The 17,241-nt window shown below is 39.1% G+C and overlaps 1 protein-coding gene across 21 annotated transcripts in view; it reads left to right on the top strand.

Annotated features, from left to right (window-relative positions):
* The window catches only part of MBTD1 (mbt domain containing 1), an 83,534-nt gene extending 67,205 nt beyond the window's left edge, over positions 1-16,329 (top strand). For 13 of the 21 annotated variants that reach the window (XM_011524926.4, XM_047436322.1, XM_011524928.3 and 10 more), the window contains 5 exons: positions 244-326; positions 738-972; positions 1,474-1,551; positions 7,538-7,729; positions 13,060-16,329. In XM_011524926.4, the coding sequence (XP_011523228.1) occupies positions 244-326; positions 738-972; positions 1,474-1,551; positions 7,538-7,729; positions 13,060-13,178 (707 nt within the window). In that variant the 3' untranslated portion in view covers positions 13,179-16,329. Of the gene's footprint in view, positions 1-243; positions 327-737; positions 973-1,473; positions 1,552-7,537; positions 7,730-13,059 lie in introns of those variants that run through there. The other 8 variants (XM_005257468.6, XM_005257467.6, NM_017643.3 and 5 more) reach the window with 4 other exon arrangements.
* The last annotated feature ends 912 nt before the right edge of the window (positions 16,330-17,241 follow it).

Here is a 17,241-nt window from a genome sequence, read left to right as displayed (position 1 = left end):
CCAGCTACTAGAGAGGCTAAGGCAGGAGGATCACTTGAGCCCTGGAGGTTGAGGCTGCAGTAAGCCTTTGAGGGCACTACTGCACTCCAGCCTGGGCGACAGAGCAAGACCCTGTCTCAAAAAAAATAAAGTTGATCATATAACCTATGCTCTTAAGATTTTTTGTACTGTTACTTTTTGTCTGCATTTTAATATTATGCTAATTTTAAATGAACTGCTAGTTAAACCAGTTGTGTTTTTTAGGTTACACAAAACTTCCTTTTAAATGGTTTGACTACCTCAGGGAAACTGGCTCCATTGCAGCACCAGTAAAACTATTTAATAAGGTAAATTTAAATGGCAGCATAATTATGTGAGGACTTATTAATGCCCCACAAATACAATTTATGTTCATAAAAATGTCTTTGCCTTGTATTAGAATTTCTTAGTGGAGATATAATATAAACAAATATAGCAATGAAACAATATAAATATTTTCTTTACCTAGGAATCAAAACTTGTTTCCAAACTATGTTTCGTTTTTAATCTGAAGGAAATAGAAATGAAGATTTTTCCTAACTAGTTTTTAAATACTTCACCTTCGTACTATGTTTAAATAGTTAAAGAATTATTTGGAATTTATGGTTTATAATTATGTTATTTAGCTAGTCGCTTCTGTTTTTTGCTTTCTTAGTGATAGTAGGGTTGTGCATTCTTTCTTCTTCATACCAATATTAATGTTTTCTTCTCTGTGTCAGGATGTTCCAAATCACGGATTTCGTGTAGGAATGAAATTAGAAGCAGTAGATCTCATGGAGCCACGTTTAATATGTGTAGCCACAGTAACTCGAATTATTCATCGTCTCTTGAGGATACATTTTGATGGATGGGAAGAAGAGTATGATCAGTGGGTAGACTGTGAGTCACCTGACCTCTATCCTGTAGGGTGGTGTCAGTTAACTGGATATCAACTACAGCCTCCAGCATCACAGTGTAAGTTGGTATACAGAAAAGGTGTCCTTTTGTAAAAATCAGCAATTCTCCAGAGGACTATCTCACATAAGTCATCTTATGAGCTCACAGGACAAGAATATACCTATGTCTGATTGGTTGCCAGGTAAGACATTAAGACTCAACAACAATATCACAGAATCAGACCATGTGTCCCATGGCAATGTGAATCCAATAGTCAATTACATAATGACTATAGAAACACAACAGTCACCAAATTAAACTAGACTTACTATTTTAGTGAGTTAAAAATTACATACTAAAAGTTTATTGGTAGGTAATAAATGCTTTTGAGTAAATAGTGGAAAATGTCTCATGTTGAGGCTATGGTTTTGTAGGAACAAGTACCCTTATTTTCAGAGCATCATGTACTTAAGTATAATGGTCTTGGTAAAGATAGTTCATATAAGTTGTATCTAGACAACTGTATCGTCTAAATTGTAAACAATTATCTAGTACCAATTTTCCCTTTTTATTTTTCAGCATCAAGAGAAAACCAATCAGCTTCATCAAAACAGAAGAAAAAGGCTAAGTCCCAGCAATACAAAGGACATAAGAAAAGTGGGTCACCACGTGGTGTTCACATACATTTTCTAATTGTTAACTAATTGGAGTCACAGTATTCTTGGACAGAAAATGATATATCTTGTGAGAACTGATGATTGTGCATTATGTATTATGCTTAAAGGTGCAGTATGCCATAAAAGGCAAACCCTTGCAATAATGAGAAACACTGATATTTTACTAACAGGAGAAATTATTACCACAGTATTTAAAGTATACGTGGTAAAGAATAGAGTCTGTGAATGATTCTTGAAATAATATGTAAAACCTACTGAAAGTTAATCCTTTTTAAAAACTTTATTTAAAAAGAAAAATTAGCAGCCAGGTGCAGTGGCTCACGCCTGTAATCCCAGCACTTTAGGAGGCCGAGGCTGGCAGATCACAAGGTCAGGAGATCGAGACCATCCTGGCTAACACGGTGAAACCCTGTCTCCACCAAAAATACAAAAAATCTGCCGGGCGTGGTGGCACACGCCTGAAGTCCCAGCTACTCAGGAGGCTGAGGCAAGAGAATCACTTGAACCCAGGAGGCAGAGGTTGCAGTGAGCCAAGATCACGCCACTACATTCCAGCTGGGCAACACAGCAAGACTCTGTCTCAAAAAAAAAAAAAAAAATTAGCAGATGCTTGATGCTTACAGTAGATGTGAAGCCTAATAAACCCATTTTTCCTAGAAAGCAAAACTTTCTAGAGTGATACTGGTAAGAAATCCAAGTTGATGGCAAACAAGCTTTACCAAATTTTTCTAGAAATGCTTTCTATACTAAAAAATTAGCCGGGTGTGGTGGTGCACGCCTGTAATCCCAGCTACTTGGGAGGCTGAGGCAGGAGAATTGCTTGAACCCAGGAGGCGGAGGTTGAGGTGAGCCGAGATCGTGCCATTGCACTCTAGCCTGGGCAACAAGAGCAAAACTCCATCTCGAAAAAAAAAAAAAAAAAGAAATTCTTTCTATACTATATTTTACCTTACAGTGAATTGTTGGCATAAGCCAAAGTAATATAAAATATATTGATAACTATGTTTGATTTTTTTTATCTTATTTCCCCACCATAGAAAGCCATAGCTTTCTCTCTTCATAAAACTTGTCATAGAATGTTTCATTCTTTTTTGAGACAAGGCCTTACTTTGTTGCTCAGGCTGGAATGGAGTGCAGTGGCACAATCTCCGCTCACTACAGCCTTAACCTTCCCTGGCTCAAGCAGTCCTCCCACCCCAGCCTCCTGAGTAGCTTGGACCACAGGCATGTGTTGCCACACACCCAGCTAAGTTTTGTATTTTTTTGTAGAGACAGAGTCTTGCCACGTTGCCCAGGCTGGTCTCAAACTTTTGGGCTCAAGCACTCTGCCCACCTCAGCCTCCCAAAGTGCTGGGATTACAGGCATGAGCCACCACACATGGCCATATTTCATTTCATTCTTAGATAAGGTTATATATATATATATATATATTTTTTTTTTTTTTTTTTTTTTTTTTTTTTGAGACAGAGTCTCAGTCTGTCGCCCAGACTGGAATGCAGTGGTATGATCTTGGCTCACTGCAGCCTCGACTTCTCGGGTACAAGCAATTCTCCCACCTCAGCCCCTGGAGTAGCTGGGACTACAGGAGTATACCACCATGCCCAACTCGTTTTTATATTTTTATAGAAATGGTGTCTCACCATATTACCCAGGCTGGTCTCAAACTCCTGGGCTCAAGCGATCCATCTGCCTGCCTTGGTCTCCCAAAGTGCTGGGATTACAGGTGTGATCCTCTGAGTCTGGCCAATTTTTATTTAAAGATATTTTTTAAATTGGACTGGACGCGGTGGCTCATGCCTGTAATTAATCCCAGCAACTTTGGGAGGCCAAGGCGGATGGCTTTAGACCAGCCTGGGTAACATGGCAAGACCCCATCTCTAAAAACAAAAAAAGGAAGAAAAAAGCAAGCTATTTAAAAAATGTAAAAGTATACTTGAGGATTAAAACTGAAACAGATTTTTCCAGCTGACTTGCCAAATATGCTCAGGTACGTGCTGATTTGCCTCATTAACAACCTAGAGACTGAAGTGGCAAGAAGAATCGAATATACTCTGTTCTAACCTTTCTGATGTTTGCTTGTTAAGTGGGAAACTTAAAAATTTCTACTGTCCACTATAGTAGTACTTTGAAAAATAAGTTTTCTCCCAGCACAAAACCCATGTCAGCCACACACAAGTAGCAACCTACAGGCCTGTCTCTTGACCTCTCGTTTATAGGCACAAGCCTCCCACAGGCCCAGAATTATTTTGCCCACCAGCTGCTTGCCAGGTCTGATACTCACCTAAAAGAACTTTAGGGAGCATTGCCAAACCAGCCTGATGAAAGGGAGTTCTCATGTATCTAAATGAGTAGCAAGAATTCACATGGGAACTTCATTTATGTCAGTGGACTGACAATAGCAGATATGATCACTAAGCTTTCTGTGAAGTAAATAACAAGTCTGCTTTCACTTTCTGTTGGATAAGACTTTGGAATTTCAGAATTTTCTTTCCAAGATGTCAAATTAAAAATGGTTTTTATTACTCAGTGGCTATATGACATTGCTTTTTAGAACTTATCTGTGAGTTTTATGTAGACAATTCATTTGCCTCCCTCAGCGTGACTCTTGTAGGATTTGTTTCTGATTTGTGGAGTTAAAACTGTTTTGAATTAATGGGCTGGGAACATGGAAAGAAATATGTAATTAATGAAGAAATATTAGCACCCCAGTTTTTAGTGATATTTACCATTACTAGAGTTCTGGATTCACTGAAAAAATGAATTTTGGTCTATATGCAACATATTCCTTAACTATAATGTTTCACTATTTCCTAATAGTATGACATCATCTCTACTACCTTTAAATTGTCCTTTGGACATAGAAAAGAAAAGAACTATGGACCCACAGTACCTCATTAGATGCCCTTGGGACCAGATGTGCATTGGAATTCAGAATTTTTTGGATTTTAGAAGAGAAATATAGTCTGTGTAACATACATTATGTAACACTCCAGACTCTGAAACATTTTTAAAGCAAATATATATATAAATATTTACATTAAATGGCCCAAATAAAAATTATAAGTAGTGTCACCAAGTGAGGTACGGCTTTGTTGCCAAAGTTCTTTTTAAAAAAACTTCCTGAGGCCAGGCACGGTGGCTCACGCCTATAATCCCAGCACTTTGGGAGGCCGAGGCAGGCGGATCACCTGAGGTCAGGAGTTCGAGACCAGCCTGACCAACATGGAGAAACCCCGTCTCTACTAAAAATGCAAAATTAGCCAGGCGTGGTGGCGCATGCCTGTAATCCCAGCACTCGGGAGGCTGAGGCAGGAGAATCGCTTGAACCTGGGAGGCGGAGGTTGCAGTGAGCCGAGATCGCGCCATTGCACTCCAGCCTGGGCAACAAGAGCAAAACTCCCTCTCAAAAAAAAAAAAAAAAAAAAAAACCTATTTGAATGTTGGAATTGAGGATAAGGAAGTATAGTGCCGTATTAAGAAGCAGCAGTTTTCACTCTAATGGTGCCGCCGCCTCTTATTTTTTTCTATTACTCAGCAGTTTGTTAGAAAGTTTTCTCACTAAGCTTTAGTTACACAAATAAGTATTTGGGGTTTAGAAACCTGTCATCCATTGCAGGCAGACTGATATAAATACCAGATGGGCTATAAAACCTTTTGTTTTTACGTTTGCCTTGGTAGGTTATCATATTCTGGCTCTGTTGCTTCATCTTACAGCTCGTTGGTCTTTTTGAACTTAAGATCATCTGTTAGTGGTATATTCTTTGGCAGTGCTTATTGTACAGAAACAGCTGATGAGCTTCATTGGTCTAGCTTGCTTTGTAGTAAGTTGTGTTCATGCCACGAAGGAGGGATAATTACTGACACTTTTGAGAATAAGTATAAGGTTCTGCCAGAAGGATCATAGACACTCTCTAGTCTCAAAAGCCTCTTTTCCTTAAGATGTAATTCTAGAGCAGGAAAAGCAGTACTGATTTCTGCTTTAAATCTCACCATTTTCAGGGACTACTGTAAGTAGTAAGAGTGGACATTGCTCCTTGCGTTTTTATCTGTGAGTATGTGGTATATTAGGAAAAAGTCTTAAGTTGTTGCTGCATGTGATTTTGGTTTGGCTCTTGAGAGTTGAATCTACTCAATAACAGCTTAAATCCCACATCATTTTACATAGGAATACTGTGTGGCTTACATTTACCTTTTAGTTTTGATTTTGTGAAGCATAATTTTTTATTGCTCTTACTCGGTTTATTCTGTCATCTGGAAGAAAACAGACATAACTCAGTCACAAAGATAAAGATCCCTTTGCTTTTTTTTTTTTTTTCTTTCTTTCTTTCTTTTTGAGACAGAGTCTTGCTCTGTCTCCCAGGCTGGAGTGCAGTGGTGCACTGTCGGCTCGCCACAACCTCTGCCTCCCGGATTCAAGCGATTCTCCTGCTTCAGCCTCCCAAGTAGTGGGATTACAGGTGTGCACCACTACTTACGGCTAATTTTTGTATTTTTAGTAGAGACGGGGTTTCACTATGTTGGCCAGGCTGGTCTTGAACTCCTGACCTCAAGTGATCCACCTGCCTCGGCCTCCCAAAGTGCTGGGATCATAGGTGTGAGCCACTGTACCCTGCTGATCCTTCAGCTTTCAATATGATTAATGCACTATGCCTGGTTCTTCAATATTTGCAGAGTTCAGAGTATTTTTTTTGGTTGGCAAAAGCATTGTACATGTCTTGGAAGGCTTATATTTGTATAGAAAACTATAGCTGAAGGGTGATACTTTTTTTTTTTTTTTTTTGAGACAAGGTCTCACTTTATTGCCCAGCCTGGAGCACTGTGGTGCAATCATAGCTCACTGCAGCCTTGAACCCTTGGGCTCAAGCAAATCTCCCACATCAGACTCCAGCATTGCCCAGCAATTTTTTTTTATTTTTTGTAGAGATGGGTCTCACTGTGTTGCCCAGGCTGGTCTGAAACTCCTGGCCTGAAGCCATCCTCATTCTTCTGCCTTGGCATCCCAAGGTGCTGGGATTACAGGCATAAGCCACCATGCCCAGCCTGATAAATTTGTTTCAGAATAAATCAGATTGCTTAAGAATTTACAGGCAATAAGCTTTGAATTTGGAAGTACATTTTAGAATAAGAATTGTGTTTTCTAAAAGAGTGAATTGTAAACTAAAAGTTAGGAGAGCACATTTCATATCAGTAACCTCCTACACCCAGATAATACATTTAAATTGTTTTGATTTCTCCACCAGTGTTTGGGCTTATATGAGCTATGAAATGCTACCTAAAAGTAGTGTTTTAAGACCCTTTCTTCCTTCCTTTGGGTTTTTATCCCATCTCAAGCAGAGACTTTCTTGAAAGAAATTGGCCAGCTGTTCAGCTGTTCTTTTTGTTTTGTTTTGTTTTGGTTTTTTTTTTTGAGACGAGAGTCTTGCTTTGTCGCCCAGGTTGGAGTGCAGTGGCACGATCTCGGCTCACTGCAAGCTCCGCCTCCCAGGTTCACGCCATTCTCCTGCCTCAGCCTCCCGAGTAGCTGGGACCACAGGCGCCTGCCACCATGCCCAGCTATTTTTGTATTTTTAGTAGAGATGGGGCTTCACTGTGTTAGCCAGGATGGTCTCAATCTCCTGACCTCGTGATCCACCCACCTCGGCCTCCCAAAGTGCTGGGATTACAGGCGTGAGCCACTGCGGCCGGCCCAGCTGTTCTTAAAGCTCTCTGTAATTCATTTTACTTTGTCTTGTTTTAAATTTGAGAGTCAGAACTAGTTATTACCAGACTCTCGGAGAGTAGAAACAATCTCCCCCAACACACACATTCAGTCAGTCTCTCTTTCCTTCTTTTCAGAAATACAAACTTTGCATAATTGGTTCTCTTTTGAGAGTGTCCTGTGCAGCACAGCTTTCCTAGTTATATAATGCACTTTTCTTACCACGCATGTAAGTGAAAGCTTACTTTAGTCTGACTTGATATTTAGAGAGGAAGATGCCAATTGGGAAGAAGCCTGTCAGTTTGTCGAGCCTGCCCATGACAGGTGGGGTGCGGAGGAGCTTCTCTGGTGACGAAGAGTTGACTCCTCCTCCATATCGAACCCTTCCAGCACAGACAGCCCCGGAGGCCTTCCCACCTCCCAGCACTAGCCGAGAGTTCAGTCCCAGCCTCAAAACAGGTAATTAGTCACATCAGCATCTCAGGTACTTCAGAGGGTAAAAGTACTGGGTAGGGTGGTGGGAGACAAAGCATGGTCTGGCATGACAGATGCTGACTCATTGAATTTTTTTTCTTTTTCTTTCAACTAAAGAATTCATTTCACTAGTGCTTAGTAGTCACTTCACTAAGACAAAACATCAGGGAAGGATTTTTTACTTTGTTATAAAATACTTCCGAGCTTCAAATAAGGGTAGTTATAATGTCAAGTTCTGGAATTGTGAGACAACTTGGAATATTTCATGGTTTTGAACATTCCTCATTGCAGAATTGTATGTGACTTGACGTGGGAACAAGTGTGTCATTAGGGATAAGTCTGATTAAAAAAACAGAAAAACGAGGCTTTGTTCATAACATTTCATAGTATCTCATTCATGGAAAGGATGTGTTTTGAGTTCTAGTTTAATTTTAGTTGTGGCAGTAACATTGATCACAATCTTAGTTGAATAACAAATTTGGAAATTCAATACCTGCATTTTATTATTTCCATAAGTTCATGATTATGTATGTATAGTGATTAGTCAGTGGCATTTGATTCGAGTGTAATTGGTTAGGCCAAGGTAGTCGATTGTAAGGAAGACTGCAGAAGGTTTTGCCCTTTGTAATTCCTAAGAACAAGCATGGTATTATCATAGGGCATGAGAACTTCACTTAGGTATGATGAACTTCAGGCATGAGTACAGATCAGATCATACAGCTTCAAAGCCAAAGTTATACCTGCCTTAGCATATGTTCTGCCATATGCTAACTATTGCTTTTAGACTTGTTTTCTGTAATGAGCATTCTTTAAAATGTCTTGTATGTTGAAAACCTAGATGAGACTTGTTACCTAGCTCTGTTTTCTTCTCATTCTTCTGTTTGCTAATATTTTTGCACCTATGGGGGTTTTCTTGTTTGTTTCCGTTGTTGGTTTTTTGGTGGTTTTTGCCATTTTAGGATATGTTCTTTAGCTTTTGCCTCCCTCATAATGTATTAGGCCATCTTGCCCCCTTCCCAGTCTTTTTCTCTGAAGATCACTGTGATGTTCTTACATCCAGAGGAAATTACACTACTTCTTTTGTACGAAAAACAAATTAGGATTGTAAATCCAGTGTTACCTGCTCTTTAACAGAAAAATGTTCAAAGTCTAAAGAGCGTTCCTGTTTCCTTTCTTGTCTAAGTTTTTTTCTTTTTGCACTTATTTATGAAATAGTCTTGCATTACTTAATTAAGTATGGATATTGTGAGTTCCAAATATATTTGAGCTTTTATTGGATCTTGGATGTATTTTCTTTAAGCATGAGGCTGGTTTTGAAGATGTATGTCACATTTTGTGATAGGTTACTGATTCATTTAAAATGGAACTTCTGGCACTGGCAAAACCCAAGAATTTAGAGTAGACGAACTAGATGGAAACTACCTGGCATCCTATGTGACTTCCTTCTTCCACCGATGTCTATAGTATATTCTGAGCTGGGGCACAACTTGTGGGACTTGGTGTGATTTTTCTCTGATGAAACTAAGTAGGGACTACATTGCTACCTTAACTATCTGAAAGCTATGGTTTCATTAGCTGTTGAAAGAGTTTATTATTTATGGGCTTCGTAGCTGGAAAAATATGATTTCAGTTAGCTTATCTCCTGAAATGGTAGTGATTAGTGTCAACAAAGTGACTTCCTTCTAAAAACAGAGCTGAGAAAAGAAAAGGCATTTGTGTAGAAAGTGACATTCAACCACAGGATCTGTTTTATTTCATCCATCATTTATTGAGAAGGCCTGGAAAGGAGAAATGATTCATGTGAAGATAACCAGACAGGCTTTATTTTAGATTCCATGAAAACAGTGAAACTTTACATTAAAACATTGCACATCTGAGTGAGTGTTTCACCTTTATCTTGAGTGACTTTTTTTAGCACATCATTTTCATATTTTAACATGACTAGAAGCATAATCCAGAAATTTGTTGTTAGCAGTAATGCATATTGCTTCAAGATATGCTTTAGAATCTCAACTTACCTTTCTTACATTTTTTTAAAAAACATCCGTTTGAATGAAACATGTTTGATCTTGAAGCACATTAATTCTTTTCTCATTCATTTAGCCATCCAGTCATCATAGAACAAGATACTGTTTTAATCAACCTTTTATTGTGGGTACTGCACCTTTAATGAAACTTGGGTTTTGTTTTCTTTTCCATGTGTGTATTTTCTAGGTATTGTTAAAATGGCCCTCACGCTGAATGACTGCATGCTGGCTAGATTTGAAGGATAACTGTCATGCATTTGATATCATTCCTCATAAAAGCATTTTTATTTATATTAAGTAATTTTTTAATGAAAGGAAGAACTAACTGCACAGTCTTGTTTGCTGTACCTTTGAACAGTCTGATGGGTGTTTGCTATGATTATATGCATAACGTATTCACTTTTCTGTCTTTGGTCTGTTAAATTTTTGATCACCAGTACCAAAACCAGTACCAAATAAAATAAATTGCCATCTCTCAAAAGATTATTCTTGGCCAGGCGCAGTGGCTTACGCCTGTAATCCCAGCACTTTGGGAGGTTATCCCATGTGGGGAATCACCTGAGGCAGGTGAATCACCTGAGATCAGGAGTTTGAAACCAGCTGGCCAAAATGAGGAAACCACATCTCTACTGAAAATACAAAAATTAGCCAGGTGTGGTGGTGCACGCCTGTAAATCCCAGCTACTTGGGAGGCTGAGGCAGGAGAATCACTTGAACCTGGGAGGTGGAGGTTGCAGTGAGCCGAAATTGTGCCACTGCACTCCAGTCTAGGTGACAGAGCGAGACTATCTTAAAAAAAAAAAAAAAAAAAAAAAAGATTATTCTTTAAATTAGCAAGTAAGATGTCAGCAGCCATTATTTTTAAACTAATTGCTTGTAACTAAAATCAAGACATGGGCCAGGCACGGTGGCTCACGCCTGTAATCCCAGCACTTTGGGAGGCTAAGGTGGGAGGGTCACGAGGTCAGGAGTTCAAGACCAGCCTGACCAACATGGTGAAACCCCATCTCTACTAAAAAAATAAAGACATGAATTATTTTTCTGACTGTACTATTTGACTTTAAAAGTTGTAGCAATTTTAATATTGTTCCACATGATGACACTGCCATTGCTTCATGAAAAACTTAAGTGGCATACTACCTATCCAGATACTCTGCTGAGTTCTCATTCTCATCAGTTGATTTTTTTCTCTGTATGAGCAGTTTCCAATTTACACCCCATATATGTGTATCCTCTCCATTTATTAATGAAAAGATACATAATAGAGAAAAATGAAGAACTTTTACCCTTGATCTGGAGCCAGATGCCTGCAGGGGCTGGTGGTTACCTGTGTGAGTATTGTGGGCAACCTGGGCAGTGAGCTCTGTGGTGGACAGAGATCTCAGGCTGCCCAGATTCAGGGGGTAGTAAGTAGCCAGTCAGTTCCCATTGATCACAGCTCTTTAAGGATGCTGCGCTTATGTTTCCAAGTCTATCTACTTTTCAGATTTTCATGTGAAATCTCTTGTATCGAAATATTCAGTCAAATGTGTAAAGAACCATTCAAATGTATAAAGAGGCCAGGCGCGGTGGCTGACACCGTAATCCAAACACTTTGGGAGGCCAAGGTGGGTGGATCACATGAGGCTAGGAGTTCAAGACCAGCCCAGCCAACATGGCAAAACCCCATCTCTACTAAAAATACAAAAGAATTCGCCAGGCATGGTGGCACACACCTGTAATCCCAGCCACTCGGGAGGCTGAGGCATGAGAATCACTTGAACCCGGGAGGCAGAAGTTGCAGTAAGTTGAGATCATGCCACTGCACTCCAGCCTGGGTGATGGAGTGAGACTATGTCTCAAAAAAAAAAAAAAAAATGCACAGGGCCCAGGCAGGAGTGGAAAAAGCAGTTTCTGACTTCTGATTTAGCAGATCCGTGTATGCTAAAGAAGTTGGGAAAGAAGGTAGCATTGCTCAACACGGGACTAGATTCAAGTGGATGTGTTAGCACAAAAGACCACCTCATCTGTTCTTTAAATTATTTGAGCTCAACTTTGGTTAGACGGTAACCTGAACACAGCCAGGCGCTGTGGCTCACACCTGTAATCCCAGCACTTTGGGGATATGAAACTGAAAAACCGTTTTCCATACTAAAGACCTACGGAAACATGGCTATACTGTTAATTTGTTTTTGTTAAAAAGTAAGTCATCAGATAAGAACTCAGGCAGGCACTCAGCTTTGAACTGGCCTCCCGCCTTGTCCTCCTACATAGCTGGGACTGTAAGCATTAGCCACCACACTCGGCTCAGGAGTTTAATATTAGTTTTTCTTGGTAGGAGGAGAGGTACACAGGGTCTCACTCTGCCACTCAGGCTAGAGTGCAATGACACAATCATAGGTCACTGTAATCTCGAACTCCTGGGCTCCAGCAATCCTTCTGCCTCAGTCATGAGTAGCTGGGACTACAGGCTTGCACAGCCATACCCAGCTTTTTTTTGTTTTTTGTAGAGATGGGGATTTGCTACATTGCCCAGGCTGCTACCACATCCAGCCCAGATTTACTTTTTAAAAATATATGTTACATCCTTATGTAATTTATAATTTTTTAATGTTTTTATTTAACATCAGATTTATATCTTTTTCTTCAGAGAATCTTTTTAATAAAAGTACTCCTTGAGGCCGGGCACGGTGGCTCACGCCTGTCATCCCAGCACTTTGGGAGGCTGAGGTGGGCGGATCACAAGGTCAAGAGATCAAGACCATCCTGGCCAACATGATGAAACCCTGTCTCTACTAAAAATACAAAAATTAGCTGGGCGTGGTGGTGGGTGCCTGTAGTCCCACCTACTTGGGGGGGCGGTGCTGAGGCAGGAGAACCGCTTGAACCGGGAAGCGGAGGTTGCAGTAAGCCGAGTTCACTCCACTGCACTCCAGCCTGATGACAGAGTGAGACTCCATCTCAAAAAAAAAAAAAAAAAAAGATTGTACTTCAGAACCATGAAAGAACTACATCATTGTTTGTACAAACATTGACATAAAAGTGAATACTTAATCACAAACAAAATTCTCATTATCCCAGTCAGATTAGTGAGCACCATTACTGCGAACATTTCATTGAAGATGTCCATTACACAGTACTGTTCCTTTCCAGAATGTTTCTTAACTGCTAATATACTGGAAAATTAAAATTAACTGAAGAAATGAAGAAGTCTTAATAACTGTAAAGCTGACGGAACACGAAGATCACAGGCAATCCGAGTACTCTAGAGAGCCTTAATGCCCATATGTTTCTCTCTCTTTCATTCAGTGACAACACTGCAGCTGAAGGAGGAGTTGCTGGATGGAGAGGATTATAATTTCCTTCAAGGAGCGTCTGATCAGGAAAGCAATGGCTCTGCCAACTTCTACATCAAACAAGAGCCATGAGGTGGCTTAGAAACTGAGGGCGGGTGGGGAAGGATTTTACACAGGACTGATTTATAATCAATCCAGCTGTACAGGGGGCTACTCTACTGGGACATTTTGCTAAACATAGAAGATTTCAGTTCCAGATTTTTCAGGTGGGTGGGGGAGCTATTTTAGTCGGGGGGGCAGGGGGGTGGGAAATTTTCAATTTATAAAGATGGACAATTTTTGTGTTGTATTTGAAGCTTTTGAAAGAATTTTGTAATATTTTCCAAGTTTGGATTTATGTGCATTGTTAACAAGAACTGAAATTCTAACTTTTTTGGTAACATTAAAGTTTAGGTAGCAGGATTGAAGGAAATGATTTAAGAAGGATATAGCTGTTAAATGCAAATGAACTGTCATTACAAATGAACCTTTTTGGTACCTGTTGGGAGATTTTGGGATTTTTAGAAGTTAGGCCAGTCACATCTCCAGCTTCTTTTGCTGCAGAAATATGCAACTGAACTCCTCATGGAGGGGTCATCACCACAAAGGTCATGGAAGGGTCATTATTTCTCTTGTTGGCATTTTATTGCAGCCCATTTTAAATGTTTGTACAGAAATATTTTTCATTCTGTGAAAATTTATTTGGAGTTCTGTATGAAACTGGAAGAACTCTGGATACTTTTATATGTTCTCTTTTAATTAAAAAAATGATTAGAATTATCCTAACACTAAAGTGTTAAACTGGAATGGTTGACAAGATATTCAGGATCTCAGTCTACACATTGAGGGGTTGGGGAAAATGTAATGTTGTCCTTAGTTTATTTTCCTTTCTAAAAAAAATACCCCACGAAAGGGATTCTGATCAGTTCTCTGCCATTTCCCTCTATCTGTGAAATAACAGCTTCGTATAACCACAACCAAAAACAGATGTTCTGTATTAGGAGAATCGAATTGAAAGTTATTCAAAGCCAAAATAAGTTTAGATTTCAAAATCATTCCAGCTCTGCTTTTATCTATCCTGGATTTGGTAGAAAACTAATTTGAAAGAGAATTTAATTTTCTTAAAATTCCATATATATATATATATATATATATATATATATATATATATATATATATATATAAAATTGTCTTTAATTGTATTCAGGATTTATTTTAATAATAACCGATTTGGACCATTTTGAACATTCCCTGTTTTAAAATTCATATGACTTCCTTTTAAAAAAAAAAAAAGGATACAAGGGTAAACTGGTGAAAGGTTTGCTCTCTGCATTTTCTAACTTTCTACTGAGTTGTGACTGAATGAGAGCGCTCTAGCGTTTACCAGTGAGGTTCATAAACTAAACTCTCAGGAATTAATTGCATCTGTTCTAGAAGTGCTTCTGGGTCTTAGCCTGGCCTCTTCAGAGTGGTAATATTGACCATCTCCTCTGGAATATAGGTAGGGCTAATTAGAAATTAATCAAAATGATTAACCTCTACAGTCCTTCAGCCTATGGAATGCTTTAAAAAATGTTAATGGAAAGCCCCAGGAGACCATTTTAGGTAAGACTTTTGTTTGAATTTTAAAATGCATAGAACGTTAAAAAAAACCAGCAATTTATTTTCTAAAATATTGCTCTACTTTTGGGAATAATAGCATTGGTAATACGCACAGGTTTACCTCATTCTATGCAAGAGGGGTTAATAACATAAGGTTTTATAATAGCTACTGGAAGTAAAATTTGTTACTTTATAGTGTAAGAATGTATGGAATCGCATGTCACCATTTCTTAATACTGACTCTTTAGGGGCATAAATGCAGATCACATCAACGCAAGTTGATTCTCATGTGTCAAATATATGTGAATTCAGCTGTTAAATTACTGGATATTTATCTTAACATTGCTGAGAGGGACCTACTGTAAATGTGACATCCTCACACTTCCCATATCTTTAACTTTGAAAAATCTTCTTGTAAACTTAAAGCCTAGAAGTATTCCAAAGCAAGGGTTAGAGCAGTCTTTATTCTCAGGCTCACTGAATTAAACCCAGGACTAATTCCACAGCACAGGCACAAGAAGCCTGTTGTGTAGTGTACTCTGCCAGTACCTTGGATTTAGGAGCTCCATGGGGAACTGACTAAACCAGGAGAGAGAGGATTTGGAGCTAGTCAGTCCTGGTAATCTATGAAATGCTCATTTATACCCAGGTTTCATAAGCTTCCAATTCTATAGCAAACCCAGGCTCTGAGTGTTTTAGAATTTCCTAATTCATGAAGTGTTTCTTGTCTTGATCCCGTGACCAACAGTTGAAGGTTGGTAAGGACTTTTCTACAGTCTGAACACAACCTAAAGCCCTCTTTCATTGTTCACACACTAACTCCTACTGCCGACGAACCGAAAAATAATTAATGCAGAGGAGATTTATGTCTTAGCCATAACTCCAGTTGTACAACTCAATCGCCCCATTCTCTTTTACGGTTCAAAATGTACTGCTGACCTTGGGTTTGTTTTTGTTTTGTTTTGTTTTTCCTGTTAGGATTTATTTGGGGACTTTTGGTAGTTTAAACTCTTTAACCTTTTCCTTGCCGTGTATGAGGAAAGCTAAAGCTGTTATCAACTTCTTATTCTACGATACTAACACGGGTTTTCAGTGTTTGTTTGTTTTTATTATTATTATTAATTTTGCGTGATGTGAATACCCTCTCCCATCAATATTTGTATTATGGTGCTATATATTGGTAATGATCCTTTAATATTGGGAAGGGATTTTAAAAATACTGTGATTAAACTGGGTTTCTTCCTTTGATTTTCATATTTTAAATAAAGCCACAGTCATTTATACAAAAGAAAAGCATCTGTCCCTGGGCAAATCTTTTGAGGACAGAGGTCAAAGTAAACTGCATAAGGTTTTTACATCATTTCTGTATGTATTTGATATATAGATCAATATCTGTACAAATTTAATCTTTTATTTTCTTGGTAACTCGTGATCATTGAGAAAGTGTTTGAAACTTTCTCATGAAGTGTATATATAATGGCGTGAAAAATTCCTTTGGAAAAATTTATGTTCCTTTCATTTTTACCAAATTGCAAATTTTCAGCATGGATGTGAAAAGCATTAAAATTATAACTTTGTGTACAAGATGAAAATAATTCACTAAATTTGCCCTTTTTTACACAAAATAAAATGTTAAAGTTAAGCTGGATTTGAGCAGTTCTTTAATATGCTTTGGTTTGGGGGGTTGCTTTTCTATTGCGTGCCCTCTATAAGCAGTCAGAGACCCCTATGAAAGTTGGATCAGCCCCTTCCTCTTACAAGGGGTAGCAGGCACATGAGTGCTGTAAGGAAGAATTTTCCACTAGCTGCCAAGGGAGCCAAGAGTAGTATGGTTAGACATATGGATGAGGTTGCATTGGAGGTGGGATTTCATGGGCAGGGAGGGAAAGGGCAAAAACCACAGCAGGAGCCAAGGTGAATAGGGACCTTTATGGGGAAATTAAATCATCTTAGCTAGAACATCGTGTTTTGGGGTTGGCATGCTTAGTAGGAGACTTTTTTTTTTTTTTTTTTTTTTGAGATGGAGTCTTGCTCTGTCACCCAGGCTGGAGTGCAGTGGCGCTATATCGGCTCACTGCAACCTCCACCTCCCATGTTCACACCATTCTCCTGCCTCAGCCTCCTGAGTAGCTGGGACTACAGGCGCCTGCCACCACGACCGGCTAATTTTTTGTATTTTTAGTCGAGACGGGGTTTCACCGTGTTAGCCAGGATGGTCTTGATCTCCTGACCGCGTGAGCCACCATGCCTGGCTAGTAGGAGACTTTTTTTTAACTCCATTAACCTCAGCAGCAAAGTTAATTGGATGTAAATAAAGTATCCCAGCTAGCTCTTGCCCTTAACATTAAAAGGGAATGCAAAGAAGCCCTCCTTTACCAACAGCTGGCTCTTTGGAAAATTATTCAACTTTTACTGCAGATGCAGTTGGTAGAGATTTTTATGAATTGGGAAACAATATGTAAGACAGTAATGAGATGGACTGGGCCTCTTCAGGGATTAATTTCACATAACGCATTCCAAGAAAAGAGCCTGATTTCTGCCCTGCTTTCTACCG

This window comes from Homo sapiens, chromosome 17, assembly GCF_000001405.40.
Source record: "Homo sapiens chromosome 17, GRCh38.p14 Primary Assembly".
NCBI lineage: Eukaryota > Metazoa > Chordata > Mammalia > Primates > Hominidae > Homo > Homo sapiens.
The sequence above is the reverse complement of the archived record's forward strand: the minus strand, read 5'-3'. Positions and strand labels throughout refer to the sequence as shown.